General features: G+C 37.7%; 1 protein-coding gene across 1 annotated transcript in view; it reads left to right on the forward strand.

The window, feature by feature from the left end:
* Positions 1-6,351: 6,351 nt before the first annotated feature.
* The window catches only part of PALMD (palmdelphin), a 48,423-nt gene continuing 38,475 nt past the window's right edge, over positions 6,352-16,299 (forward strand). The window contains exon 1 of the mRNA NM_017734.5: positions 6,352-6,601. Coding sequence (NP_060204.1) covers positions 6,557-6,601 — 45 coding nt within the window. The 5' untranslated portion in view covers positions 6,352-6,556. The remainder of the gene's footprint in view (positions 6,602-16,299) is intronic.

Genomic DNA, 16,299 nt, shown 5'->3' on the forward strand with positions numbered 1-16,299 from the left:
AAAAGTGATTGTGGACTCTGTTTGCTTACAAAATGTTATATTCTAATCTTTAAGCAAATGTCAAAAAGTGGTTGTAAACTGTTTCCAGTCTTAAAAATCAATTCCACAAATCATCGAAATGATTGAATTTGTGAATCATGCATAATATTGTATTCTACGTCTGGTTAAACCTTGTGCTGTGGTGTCTCATTGCAACTAAGGAAAAAATAGAGGTAGGATAGTATGGTGAATAAAGATGGAACCTTTTGTCCAGACAGTTCTAGATTTAAATCCTGGTTTTACTGCTTATTAGATATATCACCCATTGGTAGATTAGTTAATCTTTTTGAATGTCAGTTTCCCCAATCCATTAAGTAGGCCTATAAGGCATTTGACACATATTGTGCAATCAAATGGATCACAATGATTACCATTCAACAATTATCTGTTGTGTCCACTATGTACCAGTCTGCTCTAAGTACTTAGACTACAGATAAAAAATAGACCTTCTCTGCATGGAGTTTGCATTCTAGTGAAAGAAGACAGGCAATAAACCCCCCAGAAAAGTGTGTCATATAGTATTACAGAACATGACAAAGGTAAAAAAAAAAAAATAGAGCGAGATGAGGAGGATTCGTAGTTTCAGAAAGAGGGATTTGTGGTTTTGTATAGTGTAGTCAAGGTAGCCTCATTGAGAAGGTAGCATCTCGGCAAAGACCTAAGAAGGTGAGAGAATGAGGCATACAGATTTCTAAGGTAAGGGAGTTCCAGCACAGAAGAGAAGTCTAGGCTGGAGATATAAATAAATGCATGAATCTTAGCATCTAAATGGCATTAAAATGAGAGTAAATGAGATCTTGAGAGTGACTGGAAAGGAATAGAAAAGAAAAGATCACCAACAACTGCAGCTTTAGTGCACTGCAATTTTAAGACATTGAGAAAAGGAGAAAGAACCAGCAAAGAAGGCTGAGAGGGAGAGACTAATGACATGGAAATAAAATCAAGAGAGGTGTCCTGGAAGCCAAGTGAAGAGAGAAGGAGAGATTAACTCTGCCCAGTGTCATGGAGAGTTCAAGTAAGATAAGCATCTGTACTGTAGATTGTCTTGAAGCCTACTATTTTTTCCTCATTTACTCTTTAAACCATAAAGCTCAAATTACCTCACAATGAAATGGGTATGTTATAGTACCAACAAATCAAAATAATTTTTATTTGATTTATGTGGTCAGATTTTTTAATTTGATTTATGTGGTCAACCTACTCACATACTATTTGTTACTTGCCTATGGCAATTAAATCCCTTCCAATGGTCTACTAAAGAATAAAAGGTCGATGAAAAACTCACCTTGTCCAGTGATGTGAGAGAATAAGGGTCAAGGATTAAACAAAAGAAAATAGAAACACACTCATTAGCACATGGTAAATCTGAAAGTGAAGATTTTTCTAATGGTTCCTTCAGAGATGTCGTATAAAAAATAAACACCGTATTCTTAGCGTGACACTACTTCTGGCCTCCAGAAGTCTGAGAAGTTATAAAGAGAGAAAGACGGGAAGAAAAAGAGAGAGAAAGAAAGAGAGAAGAGTGAGAAGGAGAATGAGCATCCAGTTTTTTAACACGGGATCTGGTTTCAAAAAGGCTCTAGAGATGTTTTCAACATATACATCCTGCCTTCGGCATCCTTCAATTTTCTCCTGCCACTATTTCATTAGATTTCATTTCTTTGTGATTTTCTATCTGAAATTTCCAATTCAAGCTCCTATTTTGTACTTCATTTGGAACCTATCAAATTCTCATCCTTCTCTCCAGTTGAACACTCTTATTGAAATTTCTTGTAGATTTCTTCCTTATTGGTCATTCCCATTGCCATCCCCCTTGGATTCTAACACATTTGTATTAGCACCTTAAACACTTCTCCTCTACTTACTTTGTCCTTCATGTTCATCCAGTTTGTGGTCTCTGAGTTCAGACCTTCTGAAGGTGAGGAAGAACACTGGGGACCTTTCCTTTTGTGGAACATCAGCAATTTTTTAGTTTCCTTCTACAGGCTCTTTCTACAGACTCTTTCATAGTCACCCTTCCTGATGGATCTCTTTACCTGAATTTTCCCTCCTTCTATATGTTCTGAGACAGTTGGCAGTTTTATTTCCCTAAAATATGAATCTGATCTTTTCTCTCCCACTTTCCCTGAACATCAAGTTCTATGTATAAATGTATATCTCTATCAATCTCTCTAATTTCTCCTTTCTGCTCCAGACAGGACACTCTCCCTTATGGACCTCTAACACATTGTTTCACCCCCTCTCATGCTTAGAAATGGCTTCTCTGCTTCTAAAGTCTACTTTCTCCCTGCAGTCGCTTTCCTGCAACTCACATTAACCTCAATTTTCAATTCATGTTGCACTCACTGCTAATCCCACACACTACTATCATTCACTATGATATACTTTTCTGGGCTCAAATTGTGCAATAGTTAGCACTTTGTTTCATCGGAATACAACAACGGTTGGTTTACTATTCTTTTGTCTTCTAATTGTTTTGAGCACGCGTCTTATCTCTCCAGCCAGACAGTAAATTCATTGTAAGAAGGAGCACTGTCTCATAATCGCTTATATCCCTACCTCCTAATATAATGTCAACTAATTGACTGTAACTTTTAACTCTTGCCATCCTCGTTTACACTGGCTGGAAAACAACAAAAATACTTGGTAAAAGTAGTTCAATAAGATAAATGACAGCAGATAGTGCTCTATTATATATCTATTTTACAAAGGCTGAATTTGGTCATTAATATAAGGTTAATATTTAATGGAAGCTAGTTCGCTAACATATACTGCTTTTTGAACTATAATTCTGGATGTTTTGTGATCCTTCCGTAGTTACAATAAATTTTATAAATCCACCTGAGACTTCTTTCCTGAACTCCAAATTCGTATATCCAATTGCCTACTCAACATCTCCATGTGGAGAACCAATTGACTTTTCCAAAACTTGGTATCCATCCTCTCCCTCAAAAGAAAAAAAAAAAAAAAACCTAGTTCATCAACCTCACTATCTCAATTGATGGCGACTTCTATTCACTCAGGCAAAGAGTGATTATGAATCCTCTCTTTCTCTTAAACCCCTATATCCAATCCACCAACAGAATCAAAAGTTATCCATGGTACAACCATGGTACAACCAAGGTGGTAACACTCTCATTGTTACCACCTTGACACAAGCCACCATCATCTCTCATCTGGATTACTGTAATAACATCCTATCTAGTCTTCCTGTTTCACACTTGCAAAACACTCCTCTGCTTAAAACACCTCAATGCCTTCTCATCCCACACAGACTAAAAGCTAAAGTCCTTACAATGGCCTACTGGACCCTGCATGAATTGGGACCTGTTACATTTCCAACCAAATTTCCTGTTAACCCTCTCTTAGTCCCAGCTCTCTAACCACACTAGCCTTGTTCATAAAACATGGCAGGTATGGCCCACCACAGGACATTTGCACAGGCCCTTCCTGATATGCTTTTCCCATAAATATCCTCATCACGAACTCTCACCTCTTCTTCAAGACCTTGCTCAAATATTGCCTTCTCACTGAGGCTACCTTAGTGACCCAATTCTAAATTGCAACATTCCCTGCCTTAGCCATCTTTATTCTCCTCCCTGCTCTATTTTCTTTCCATAGCATTTATCACTATGGCTGATGAGAAAGTGCCTCTCAGACATTGAACTCCAGGAGCATAATTGACCCAAGAGTCCCAAGCTGTTTCACTCTGAAATCCATTCCTATGTTTGCTTCAAGGCTATGCTTCCCAGGGGCTACTCCCAGCCAGTGACTGAGCATGGCAAGAATGCTAAAATTCCTGAGAAACACTGGACTACTTTGGTTGCTGACAACTGATGTGTCTCATCATGTGTTTATTCATTCATTTAGTTGACAATACTAATACTTGTTAATTTTTTAAGCATTTGTTATTCATTCTGCACATATTTATTGAGAACCTCTGATGTGTCAGGCACTGTGTTAGGTGTCTGAACAAAATTTCTCCTCTCCTGGAACTTACATTCTGGTAGACAATAAAAGATTAAGTAAACAAAATACAGTAGATGTGGAAATGATGATGTTATTCTGGATCCTATAAGAAACAAATGCCAAGATGGGTTAAATGTACAGAATTTTATTAGGAGAAATGACTGTATGAGAGAACATGGGAGGACAGGCAGAAAAGGCTGGAGCTGGACATGTCTAAGAGGCAGGTGAAAGAGAAAGGGAGGCGAAGTTGAGTGGAAACATCCTAATCTGTATTGCAGTCCAAGGGAGATTGTCAAGACCATCAGAGCTCTGGCTCCAGGATTCCACTCAGGTCCCCCAGATTTTCCCAGCTCCAGCCTTTTCTGCCTACCACTCACATGATGATACCAATCAGTTGTTGCAACTCTGCTCCCTCCTAAATTCCCATCCTCTTTTTTTAAATCTTGTCCTCCCCTACACTAGCAAAATCTTGGGTTTTCCTCTAGCAGAAATGAGATTTGAGAGGTAAATTGTTTTTAGGAAAAGATCCAGACTAATAATTGGATGACTGCCCATTTGTTCTAGGCACCAAATATGCAATTCTGACTGAGATATTTATCATTACTGCTTTCTTGTCTTTAATTTCAGCCAGGATCTACAAATAAACATAATCAGAAGTCTTGAAGGTTTGATTTTTTTTACACTTAAATATGTTTCCAACAGTAATCAAACTTGGCACACATCCAAACAATCCTCCCATTCTCTGGTCTCCCTAAGTATCCCTTCTGAGGGTGTATGAGCAAGGACAAACTACTCTCAAGTATAATTTCAGACTCTTAAAACATGGGTTTCACCTTATAGTGACTGACAGAATGAGGGCTCTGTGGTTGGGGAACTCCAGTCAACAATGTGGGGAAACCTCAGTAGGGCCAATAAGTTTCTCCAGAGGACATTCCCACACCGTTCTGCCTTAGGCTGTTACACCCAGCTGTAGTGTTCTAGGAGCTAGACAGAGAAGGAGGCTGGGGGTCCAACCACTTCTCATAAAGACTGACTTAACCTTCAGCCTGTGCCTCTCCTTGCCCCGTGTCCTTGGGCAGTCCTTGATGAATGCCACTTATAAAGTCAGGCAGCTGGTGTTCCAATCCTGGCTTTGCTACTTACTAGCTATATGGCAAATTACCTCTCTGAGCCTGTTCCCTCATTTTTAAAGTAGGGATTATAGCACTTATCTCTCAGCACTTTGCAAGTATGCATTTACCTGTAGAAAGAATGCAACAAATATTAGCTATTATTATTACTAATATCAAAACTGCAAAGGAAATTAAACCATATGTTCAATGTTTGGGTTGTCCTTTTAACCTCTTCAGCTGAATGTTGATATGAAAGCGCTTAATAGCATTCAAACACATAATAATAAGGTAGTTGGTAATTAGGATTTACTTCAGCAAAATTTAATTAAAGAACCTGTAGGGAAAAGAAAACAGACAGAGCCAATTGTACAGCTTCCCAGCCTCTGCTTTGACCTAAGAGTCTCACTGGGCTTGCCTGCCTTTTTCTAAAGGATGGGCGAATATTCACACAGTGCCGGGCTCCAGGCAGTTACCAAATGTCTCATCACATTTTCAAAGGCTCACTCCTCTCTCTTGCGTAACCGGTGAGGTCAAAATGGGCACCTTCCTGAAAGCCAAGAGTGTCATTTCTGAACAGCGTCCAAGAAAGAAAACTGCATTCCATAGAAATCCAAGTCAAGCAATAACAAAAGGTGGCACTTGGTGCTTAAGCCACACTAAATACCTTGGTGGGCCAACTTCTTAATATAGTCACATTAACACCTTTGATTTCTCCATGACCTAAAGATTCCAAAGTTTGCAACAAAGTGCTGAGCAGGGGGGTCGGGGGTGGGGTGTAGACGGGGGAGAACGAACCAATGTAAATTTACCACTACATGAAGTTTAAAGTAGCTATAGATTGTTGTATTATTATCAAATCCAATCAGTGGAAGAAAGGCAAACAAGTGACTTGGCACTTCTGCCTCAGTCAAGGTAAGGCTCTCTCCCCTAGAGCTAGCAAGCAGGTAAACGAGCTTTGTACAAACACACACAGACCAACACATCCGGGGATGGCTGTGTGTTGCTAGAGCAGAGGCTGATTAAACACTCAGTGTGTTGGCTCTCTGTGCCACTCCTGGAAAATAATGAATTGGGTAAGGAACAGTTAATAAGAAAATGTGCCTTGCTAACTGTGCACATTACAACAAAGAGCTGGCAGCTCCTGAAGGAAAAGGGCTTGTGCCGCTGCCGTTCAAACTTGTCAGTCAACTCATGCCAGCAGCCTCAGCGTCTGCCTCCCCAGCACACCCTCATTACATGTGTCTGTCTGGCCTGATCTGTGCATCTGCTCGGAGACGCTCCTGACAAGTCGGGAATTTCTCTATTTCTCCACTGGTGCAAAGAGCGGATTTCTCCCTGCTTCTCTTCTGTCACCCCCGCTCCTCTCCCCCAGGAGGCTCCTTGATTTATGGTAGCTTTGGACTTGCTTCCCCGTCTGACTGTCCTTGACTTCTAGAATGGAAGAAGCTGAGCTGGTGAAGGGAAGACTCCAGGCCATCACAGTAAGTCTGCATACAGTTATAACTCATTAACGTTGTTACTTAGAGGAAGGCAGACCGTGGCCGGCTGCCCCTGTCGCTGAGCCCTCGCAAGTGGAAAAACAGAACTGTCAGCCTTCATGGACGAGTCTCTGTTTCTCTCTTAACCCTCATGACCCTCTGTAACTCTGGGGCTTCAGAACCTGAGTGCAGGGCAAACGTTCTTGATTTTCAAAAAGGCTGTGCCTGCATTTTAAACAACAATCAAAAGCTGTTAAGGCAGTCTGATTAACTATCTTTCACACTCTGTGGTGTACCTTAGAAATGCAGTTTTTCCTTAAATGTCCATTTGACTGGCATTAGATAAAAAAACAGATCCCCAACTTGGAAACTTTTTTAAGCTATGAATGCCTCAAAAAGTTAGAATTTTTTTTAAAGAGAGAAAAAGAAATTTTAAAAATGACCTGAAACTTTATATTTGTAGTGTGGTAGCATGTTCCAGAAAGCCTAAAATAATTAAAATGAATGTTAATATACGTAATTTAAGCATTAAACAAGAGAAAACTAGGTAAAAGCACGTATCAGATTAATTCTAAGATATCAGTTTCCAGCAGAGTCACAAACTGAATAAGATCCTGATAAAGGAATGCAGTGCATGCAGTGGATTTGGAAAATATTTTGTTAATACCGAGAAGGAAAATCGTACATTTTTTATGTTTGTTCCGGGAAAAAGTCAAAGCCAGAAATAAATTACTTTTCTTAAATGATCCAGCTTTCTTTTTAATTTTATAAAACCCTGTATTTGGCAGTAACTTGGAAATCTGTGTCACAATCATTTATCCCTAGCTATAACTTTTGATGTAATTGTTTTAAGAAGAAAAAGATCTTTGGAAAGCAATATCCCAATTTCTCAGCATTTTCTGCCACTGACATTAGGTATAGGAAAAAAATGAGTACTTTTTAAAAACTGATGCTAGATCAGGGATTTTTTGTTGTTGTTCTTAAAATTTTCATTGCATAACTAATTATGCTAATCCTAATTTAGATTTTTTACTAATTGATACAATATCTTAGTTTCACCCAGGAAACATTCAGTAAATTGAAATGTCTTCTTAGCCAATAGTAAGACACCAGAAGTCTATTGATAAGGTTGGCACTTTTCCATAAAACAATGCTTTGTTAAATGTCTAGCTTCTAATTATTACATTTTCCTCTCTTCAGAAAACCTTGGTCGGGATTATTGTTTGTTTTGTTTTGTCCTTTTTTGTCATTAAACTCAGCCACCATCTCAGCTGTCCTGCTTTAAGGGACAGGAACTCGGCTCTGCTCTGTTGTTTTTGGCATGGGCCTTTTACATTACAGCTGTTGTCTAAAGGTTACTTTATTAGACTGCGTGAGTTGTGTGGTCACAGGCTCCACTATTTCTAATGCTTATATCTCCTAATTAGCTAATTGAAATAGACAAGTAGACCCTTGTTCTGAATTTGCCTCTTTCAGTTGGGGGACACCCTCGCTCAAGCCCTTTTTCCCTCCAGTGTACCTTATAACTCTTACCAAAGCCACACATGTTCCAAAGATATGGCTGTATACAGTTATTTCTAAGGCTAGGAATCTTAGTCACTGAAGGTTCCAAACGCAAATAGAGACAGAAAATCCTCATAATGTCTTAAAAGCCATCAAGAGAGTAAGTAGCTTCCTGAATATGCAGATGTATGCTTTTTTGATGATTAAAAAAATTTTTGGATTATTCCATCAGCCTAAATATATCCCATTAGAAAGGATTAAACAAATCTCCCAAGTAAGATCACAAAGTAATTCTAGCTTGGAAGTAATATACTTGTATAAAGGTTGTAGGGAAAAAACTGGAAAAAGTTTATGGGAACAAATTTCTCATAAACCAGCCTACACCTCACCAGGCTAAATCCAGTCACATTTGTCACCACCTAGAGGAAAAGTGGAGCAGTGGTGTGTCCATGGAAACAACACATCCACTCTCCTCCCTCTTGGACGCCCTGGGACACGCCAGCTTTCCTCGCCCTCGCCCTTGCCTTGCCCAGGAAGCCACCTCAGCTAGTCTCTTTCCCCCTAGGAAAATAAAATCACAGAGTATGCAGAGAGTTTGCAAGAATTATTTCATTTTTGGAAATGCTTAAGCCTCAGAATCTCCAACCTAGACTAAAACTCAGAGAGTATCTTCTCATTTTAGCTTTTTCCTAGTACTTACCTACACTGAAATAATTTTTTGTATACTTCAAGAATGAAATCAGAAGGCAATTCCCCAATGCACCCAGACATAGCAACACATAGACCTCACTTTGGAGGAAAAAAAAAAAACTTTTACACTCTAGGATCTATTTGCTTTTTACATTAAAATTCGTTTCTCCAATTGCTGGCTATAAAATAAAATAATCTTCACAGTTGTATTTATTCTACCTGGTTTCAAGTGCCTAAAAAGTCATTATTTTTCACTGCAAAGAACTGAAAAAATAAACGTATATACCTAGAATTTGACAGAACAAAGATCCAAGTGCCAGTCTTTTTCTTTTTCTCAAAAAAAAAAAAAAAAAGGTTAAACACATTAAGTAGTTGAAATGTGACACTTAGGCTCTCAAATTGAAAACTAAATTACTATCGTGATGCCATTCATTTCTCATATCAGATCAGTAAATTGAATTTTAGATTAGTCAGATGTCTTCTCAAAGATTTAAAGAGAATAAGAGCAAAATTATGAAAGTATGCAGAAACAATTGTTCAAGGGTAGATACTTCAGTTTGGGTATACCAAATATAGATTCTATTTTACACAATTACTTTCATGTTCTTCCTTAATACTTTATCCATGCACCAACTCTTCCCTTACTAAATTAATGGTCAAAGTACCCCTTTGCCTAGAAGTTCAGTTTTCAACTATAATTTAAACACAGGGCTGCTTAAAATTAATTAACTATTATGTTTGATCTTTAAAATGTCTCTTGAGGCCCTTTTCAAGTCAGTACACACTTGAACAAATAGCTGATCTTTCTACAAAAGGTGAGCTAATTGGAATTCAATAGTATTTTGAAATAGACTAGTAATTTGAAATTCACCTTTAACAATACTGGAACTGAGGATACCAATGACTCCAGCATTCTCGAGAAGAGTGAGATGAAGAAGCGTGAGATGAAGGACTGAACGTACCACTGACAGAGTTATCCCTACAGAGTTACTGTCTGAAAGTGAACGTGGCCCACACTGAAGAACAACGAAAAGGCCCAGGGGTCTCTCCTCAGAAACACAAAGATTCCCTTAGGATGAGTAACATTCCGTATACTCTTAACATCTCCTCCACAGCTAATACATTTTCTTACCCCCATGCCTACAGCGACATTGGAAAATACCATTACAAATATGGATATGCTCAAACTGGAAAATTAGATCTTAAACTGTCTTGCGATCATAGACTCAGTTCTATTTGAAGGATGAACTCAGAGGAAGTTTAAGAACTAGAATCCAATTTCAGAGAACAGACTCAACTGAGAAAAAGAGAGTAAGAAGAAAGCTGACATTTTTATTCTCCTCCAGGCTTACCTTTAACTGTAAGGAATGTGTGTTATCAACACAGTCTCTCATGCCTTTATTCAATTAATGGTTATTAGGCACCTACTATGCACCAAGCCTTGTGCATTTAAATGAAAAGAAGTGAAATAAGGGGAGTCTGGAATGTGAGGAGTGGGGATGGGAGTGCATTGTAAGTTAAAATAGAGTGGTCAGGATGGGGTTCACAAAGAGGGTGACGTTTGAGCCTAGATGTGAAGGAGGTGAGTTCTGTCAAAAGTTAGACAATAAAAATAATCACAAGTACAAGCACCTGCCTAGGACTGCCTCCATTTGGAAAGGAGCCATATAAAGTCCTGACACTGGAATTTGAGCAACAGAGCCAGATTTTGCCGGCCAAAGCTGCTCATAATGAAAAAAAAAAAAAAAAAAAAAAAAAAAAAAAAAAGCTCTCACATTTCCCCTGATCAACTCCCTACTGCTTTCCACTCCCAAATACCCAAATAAATTTTTCTTGACTTGTAAATATAGGAATTTAAGAGACATGGAGTTCTTTACATAAAACAGAAATCTCCACAGTACAAAGACCAACATTAAAACAAGAACATGAGCACGGATGGGTTCTAGTTATTTCTTTAGCACATGTTCCCTGTTACAAGTGTCTCTGGGCACTCTACCTCATCTTGTTCCCTTTTTGTCAATATCTGGGCTCTTCTAACAGTCAGTAAGACAGTTAGTGACCCAAAAGCAAGACCTGCTGTGTGATTTGTGGGGCCCAAAACACAAGGGAATTGTGGTGGCCCTTGTTCAAAAAATATTCAAAATGTCAAGGTGGTGACAACAGAGCTTTGATCTAAGTGCTAGGCCCTTCTGAGCATGATGACCTGGGTGACTTCACAGGTCACAAACCCAAGAAGTCAGCCCTGCTTCTGTATTCCAGACTGGCCATACATATTTTTCCTTATTCGTTCTATCTGAACAAATAAGAGAGTAAAAACAAGTGTAAACTAGTCTGTGTCTTTAACAAAGGCATACCCTAACACGTGTTTGGATCATTGTATTATTTAGAGCTCTAAGGAATTCTTAAAGTACTAGTGGCCAAAGAATGCATAATGCCCCATTGTTAACCAACATACCTCATGATTAAGACATAGTTAGAGGAACAACTTCTAATTTGTCAGGAGCTTCCAAAGAAATTCACATGAAGATGGTACATGAAGATGTAGCAGTCTTCTAAATAAAAAAGTCCCATTCTGGAATATTCAACAATGAAACCTCAGCACAATTTTCCACAGTGCTGTACCAAGATTACATGTTTCTTCCAGAGAGGGAAAGGTTTCTTCAAACAAATGTGGTACGCCACACTTCTTTGCCAAACATAACAGCCCACCCATAAAGGACACCATGTGATGAGGTATAATAGTTTTGATAGCTCATTAAGGAAACTGCTTTTTGATAACTGGGGAAGGTTTTTCCACTGTGCAACAAAATGATAATGCTACTTTGCTAACTCCTCTACTGACAAAGATCCCCATGAACTTTCTGAACATTACTGGATGGTTGAAAGGAAAAGCTGCTTCTTTAGAAAACTGTGATTAAAACAAATTAGAGAATAAGCATCTAAGACTAACCAGAGTATAAACAAATGCAACACAGTTCAATTCTAAAACTGCAATAGGACTTCCACTTTTTAATCTGCAGTCTCTAACTACCTACCCTCTCTTAAAAAGAAATAAGAATATTTTAATTTATTTAAATGATAGTAATGTCATTTTGGGAAGAGACTCCATGAAAATTTACCACCTTAAGAAGTTCCCTTACCCAGAACCCTGTGGCATGCACATTTTCCTAAAACATCATCAAAGCAGTTTGAATGAGATCTATACTTAAAGTTTTTACATAAAATCCCAGGGACTGAGAGGATTCAGTCAAGCCACTTAAGAGGTAGAGCTAGGTTATCCTCAGGAGTTCTGAATGGAACTCAAAACTAGCTTCTGTCCTAAGCATCAAGTTTTCAATCTATTAAATGTATCAGTGATTGACACAGGATGATGTAACATAGCAAAGTGGGCTACAACAGCTATTCCTAATCAATTACGCTAACAACTCTGGAATAAAATGGACATCTCCTAAGAAAAAGAATTGTGAGATTTCTAACAATAATAACAGTGCCTATTCTTACATAGCATTTAGGCTATGAAAAATAAAACTTTCACATCCATTTTATCTCATTTGTCCAAGTAGTCCTATGAGTATTTTCAAAAGCATATGTTATCATTCCCATTTTATGGCAGAAAGCCTAGGCCAAGAAAAGCTAAGGAATTAGTCAAATGTCGGAACTTGAATCTATTCCTCTGCTCATCAGATTTTCTGACCACAGCATCATGACAAATTTTTATAAACATCAACATCACACCCCTGACCCCTGTTCAGGACTTCCGTAGATTTCTGGCTGGGCATGGTAGCTCATGTCTATAATCCCAGCACTTTGGGAGGTTGAGGCAGGCGGATCACTTAAGGCCAGGAGTTCAAAACCAGCCTGGCCAACATGGTGAAACCCTGTCTCTACTAAAAATACAAAAATTAGCTGGGCATGGTGGTCTGCGCCTGTAATCCCAGCTACTTGGGAAGCTGAGGAACGAGAATTGCTTGAACCTGGGAGGCAGAGGTTGCAGTGAGCTGTGATTGCGTCACTGCACTCCAGCCTGGGTAACAGAGTGAGACTCCGTCAGAAAAGAAAAGAAAAGACAGAAAAGAGAAAAGGAAAGGAAAGAAAAAAGAAAGAAAAGAAAGGAAAGGAAAGGAAAGGAAAGGAAAGGAAAGGAAAAGAAAAGAAAAGAAAAGAAAAGAAAAGAAAAGAAAAGAAAAGAAAGAAAACTTCCTCAGATTTCTATTGTTCACTCTTATTAATACAGTTTGACGTGGAGCCAAGAGAAGAAACTATGGAGGGTCTGCTTTGCTTAACCACATTTTCTAACCCAAAACAGTTCTCCACCTCTGCAGTCTCTTCCCACCTTCCCCAGTTTGCAAGGAATAGAAGTGGGCAAGAAGAGACTGTGGTGTCATTTCAGAAGTATTTGTTATTGTTTTTAAGAGGTTTGGAACAGAATCAAAGTCATTTTTCAGAGCACCTAATAGTTCAGGCCCCTTTTTCCTCTGCCTTCCTCCCCATCCCACTTCCTTTACGTAGCCTCTTCCCTGCAGCCAGGAATTCTCAAGACAAAGACATCCTTGCATCTTTCACAGTTCCCTCAACAACGAGCTCAACACTAGCTGGAGCACCAAAACAAAACAAAACAACAAAACAAAAAAACTGTCCTGGGTGAGTGAATGAATGAATGAACAAATACAATCAAGCTGAGAAAGGGTGAAAGCTACTGATTGGCTGGCCTGCTGACAGATTTTTTTTCACTGAAGACCCGGCCAAATTTACCATCACCCCTTGATTATTCAGGGGTCTGTTTTGTGTTTGTTGTTTAGCCTGGTTTGGTTTTGTTTTGTCACTATTTGTTAGAACAAACAAGATAGGGTAGACAAAGGAAAAAAAGAGTAAAACACACGCTGGATTCTGTTTAGAGGTCTGTTAGAATGTGTTGTAAGGTTGGGAAAGAAGACTACAATTATTTGATAAATGAGGTTTAGAAAATTTGTGCTTTTTAATTCACCCCATAAATAGTAGTGATAACCATGCCAAATTTCCATGACTAACTTAAGAATTAGGATATTTCAAAGCTAGATGCAGACATAATTATTGGAACAGAAGAAAATGTAGAAACTTCTTTATCCACGTCCTCACTCTCTTTACACCATGCCCAAGTTCACCCAGCTTCTCCTTGAGCACTTCAATATCACATGGATCGACACCCCCCAAAAAACCCTTTTCCATTTGAGAACAGCTCTCTGTGTTAAGAGTTCTGACATAATGTACCAGAATCTGGTTGCCTTTAACTTCCACCCAATCTTCATGACTCCTGCCACTGAAGCTATACAGTTTTGTTTTCTGGATTTCAGTCATTCTTCACAGACTCATTCCAGACAATCTCCAAAATGTCAGTGTAACTGTTAGAAGTTGGTGCTAAGGGTTGATCAGAACTCTGATGAGTATAGAGACCTTTGGTGCTATAATGTCCCTTATTTGAGGAATTGTATTTCTACTGATATATTTGGAAAGCAATAAGGAAGAAAGAAAATAATAAAAATAAAAGATAAAAAAGCATCACCCCTGGAATCATAGAAAATCAGGTTCAACACAAGTTCCACCACTCGATCAATCACGTGACTTGAGAAAGTTAATGAACTCTCTAGTTTTCATCTTCAGTGTCTCTAAAGTTAAGAATTGACTTGAAAGTTCAGTAAAGAAGCCAGATACACAATGAATATATAAAAAGCAGTAGCTTTCTGAAAAACAAAAATTAATCAGAAAATATAATGTGAAAATATCCTACCCTTAATAGCTATAATATTAAATTTATAGCTATTATGTTAAAATTTAAAAATAATACTAGTAAGGAAGTATGCCAGATTTAGATGAAGAAATGTTTGCATTTTTATACCTACTAAGGAAATGTGCAGTATTTATGCCACAAAACTCTACCAAGTGACATACTATATGTGATGAGAGACACACACTATTCCTGAAAGTGCAGTTTTAAAACAGAAAAGCTATCATATACTTCCAAATTTATTTCAAGTTTAATACAGTTTCAATCAATATCTCTAAGGAGGTATTCTCATCCACAATATAAATTGTGGTCAATTTATATTACTAAACATGTAAAAATAATCCCAATTTTATATGAACTATAATAAATTATGCAGATATAAATCTTATATAACATTATCAATCTCTGATTATCTCTGGATAGTGACCATTAAGAGTAACTTTTTAAATTTCATCAAGGCATGTAGATTTTTGTTTGGTTGGTTGGTTGCTTGGTTGGTTGGTTGCTTGGTTGGTTGATTTCTCTGATTTGGTGGAGAATGTGGATAAATAAGGAATTAGCTGGGTTTTCAGTTTTGTTTCTGTTGGAATTTAACAAAATGATTCCAAAGTCCAACTAGAAAAACAAACTATGGCTATTAATCAATACATTTTTTATAACAGCAATAAAGGAAAACTTGAATATATCTAATTGGTAAATGATCTAAACTATGCAGTATTGGTACCAGAATCAATAGTTAGAGAAACTATACAGATAACCTGCAACCAGACCCTAATGTACATTTTTAAAAATTAGTAAGTAATAAAAGTTTCATACTAAGTCAATAGGAAAGAATTATTTGATAAAACTTCAGATACATAGTTAAAAATTTAGAAAAACAATTACTCAGCATCTATGATGAATCAAAATAAATTCAGCTGAATTATGGTCATTTTTTAAAAGAAAATATGGATGAATAATTATTGAGTCTTAGATGATAAATAATATTAAAAACATAAAAAACTTAATAAATGTTATTATTAAAACCGTCTTAACCTTCATCATCTGCAGATCTTAAAATAATTAAGCAATAAAAAATAGTGTGAGTTTTAAACGCTTTGTTTTTAGTCATCAACTGCTACCACCTAGACCTATTCCTTGTCTAAATACCACATTCCTTGTCTGGATGCAATTCACTCTACAACTTTGCTAGGGATTAATCCGTAATTTCACCAGTCTTTAAATATTCATCATTCACCTCTTTGCCTCTTCAAAAAAACTGGGTCATTTGCCACTTTCAGTCTTCTGGTATCTTTTCACCTCATCCAAGATTCCAAAGAGGTTACTTAACAATATTTTTCTGTCATGTCTATAAATTTTTCTACCCCCTGAAATGAAACCCATCAGAGACTGAAGACTAGAGCAGCTCTGTCTTCAATGCTGTATTTCCTCTTCAGCTTTGATTTCGCTTTAGACATTTTTGTTCTACCCTTTTGAGGATCAAGATTATTCTCCTTAATCAAAAATATGAAATTAAAGTAGAAACGGAATCATATTTTATCTCTGTCATTTTGATATTACGCTATGTATCTCAGCAGTCATCTTGTGCCTTTATCTTTTTGTTCTCAGCATAACACACACGCACACACACACACATGCACACACACACACACACGCATGCACTTTTTGTGCCCTCAGTGTTTTCATGTTTCACATCTCATCACCCTGAATTTTTACCTTATTTACACTATTACAAGGTGTCACCATC

This window comes from Homo sapiens, chromosome 1 (genome assembly GCF_000001405.40).
Source record: "Homo sapiens chromosome 1, GRCh38.p14 Primary Assembly".
Lineage (NCBI taxonomy): Eukaryota > Metazoa > Chordata > Mammalia > Primates > Hominidae > Homo > Homo sapiens.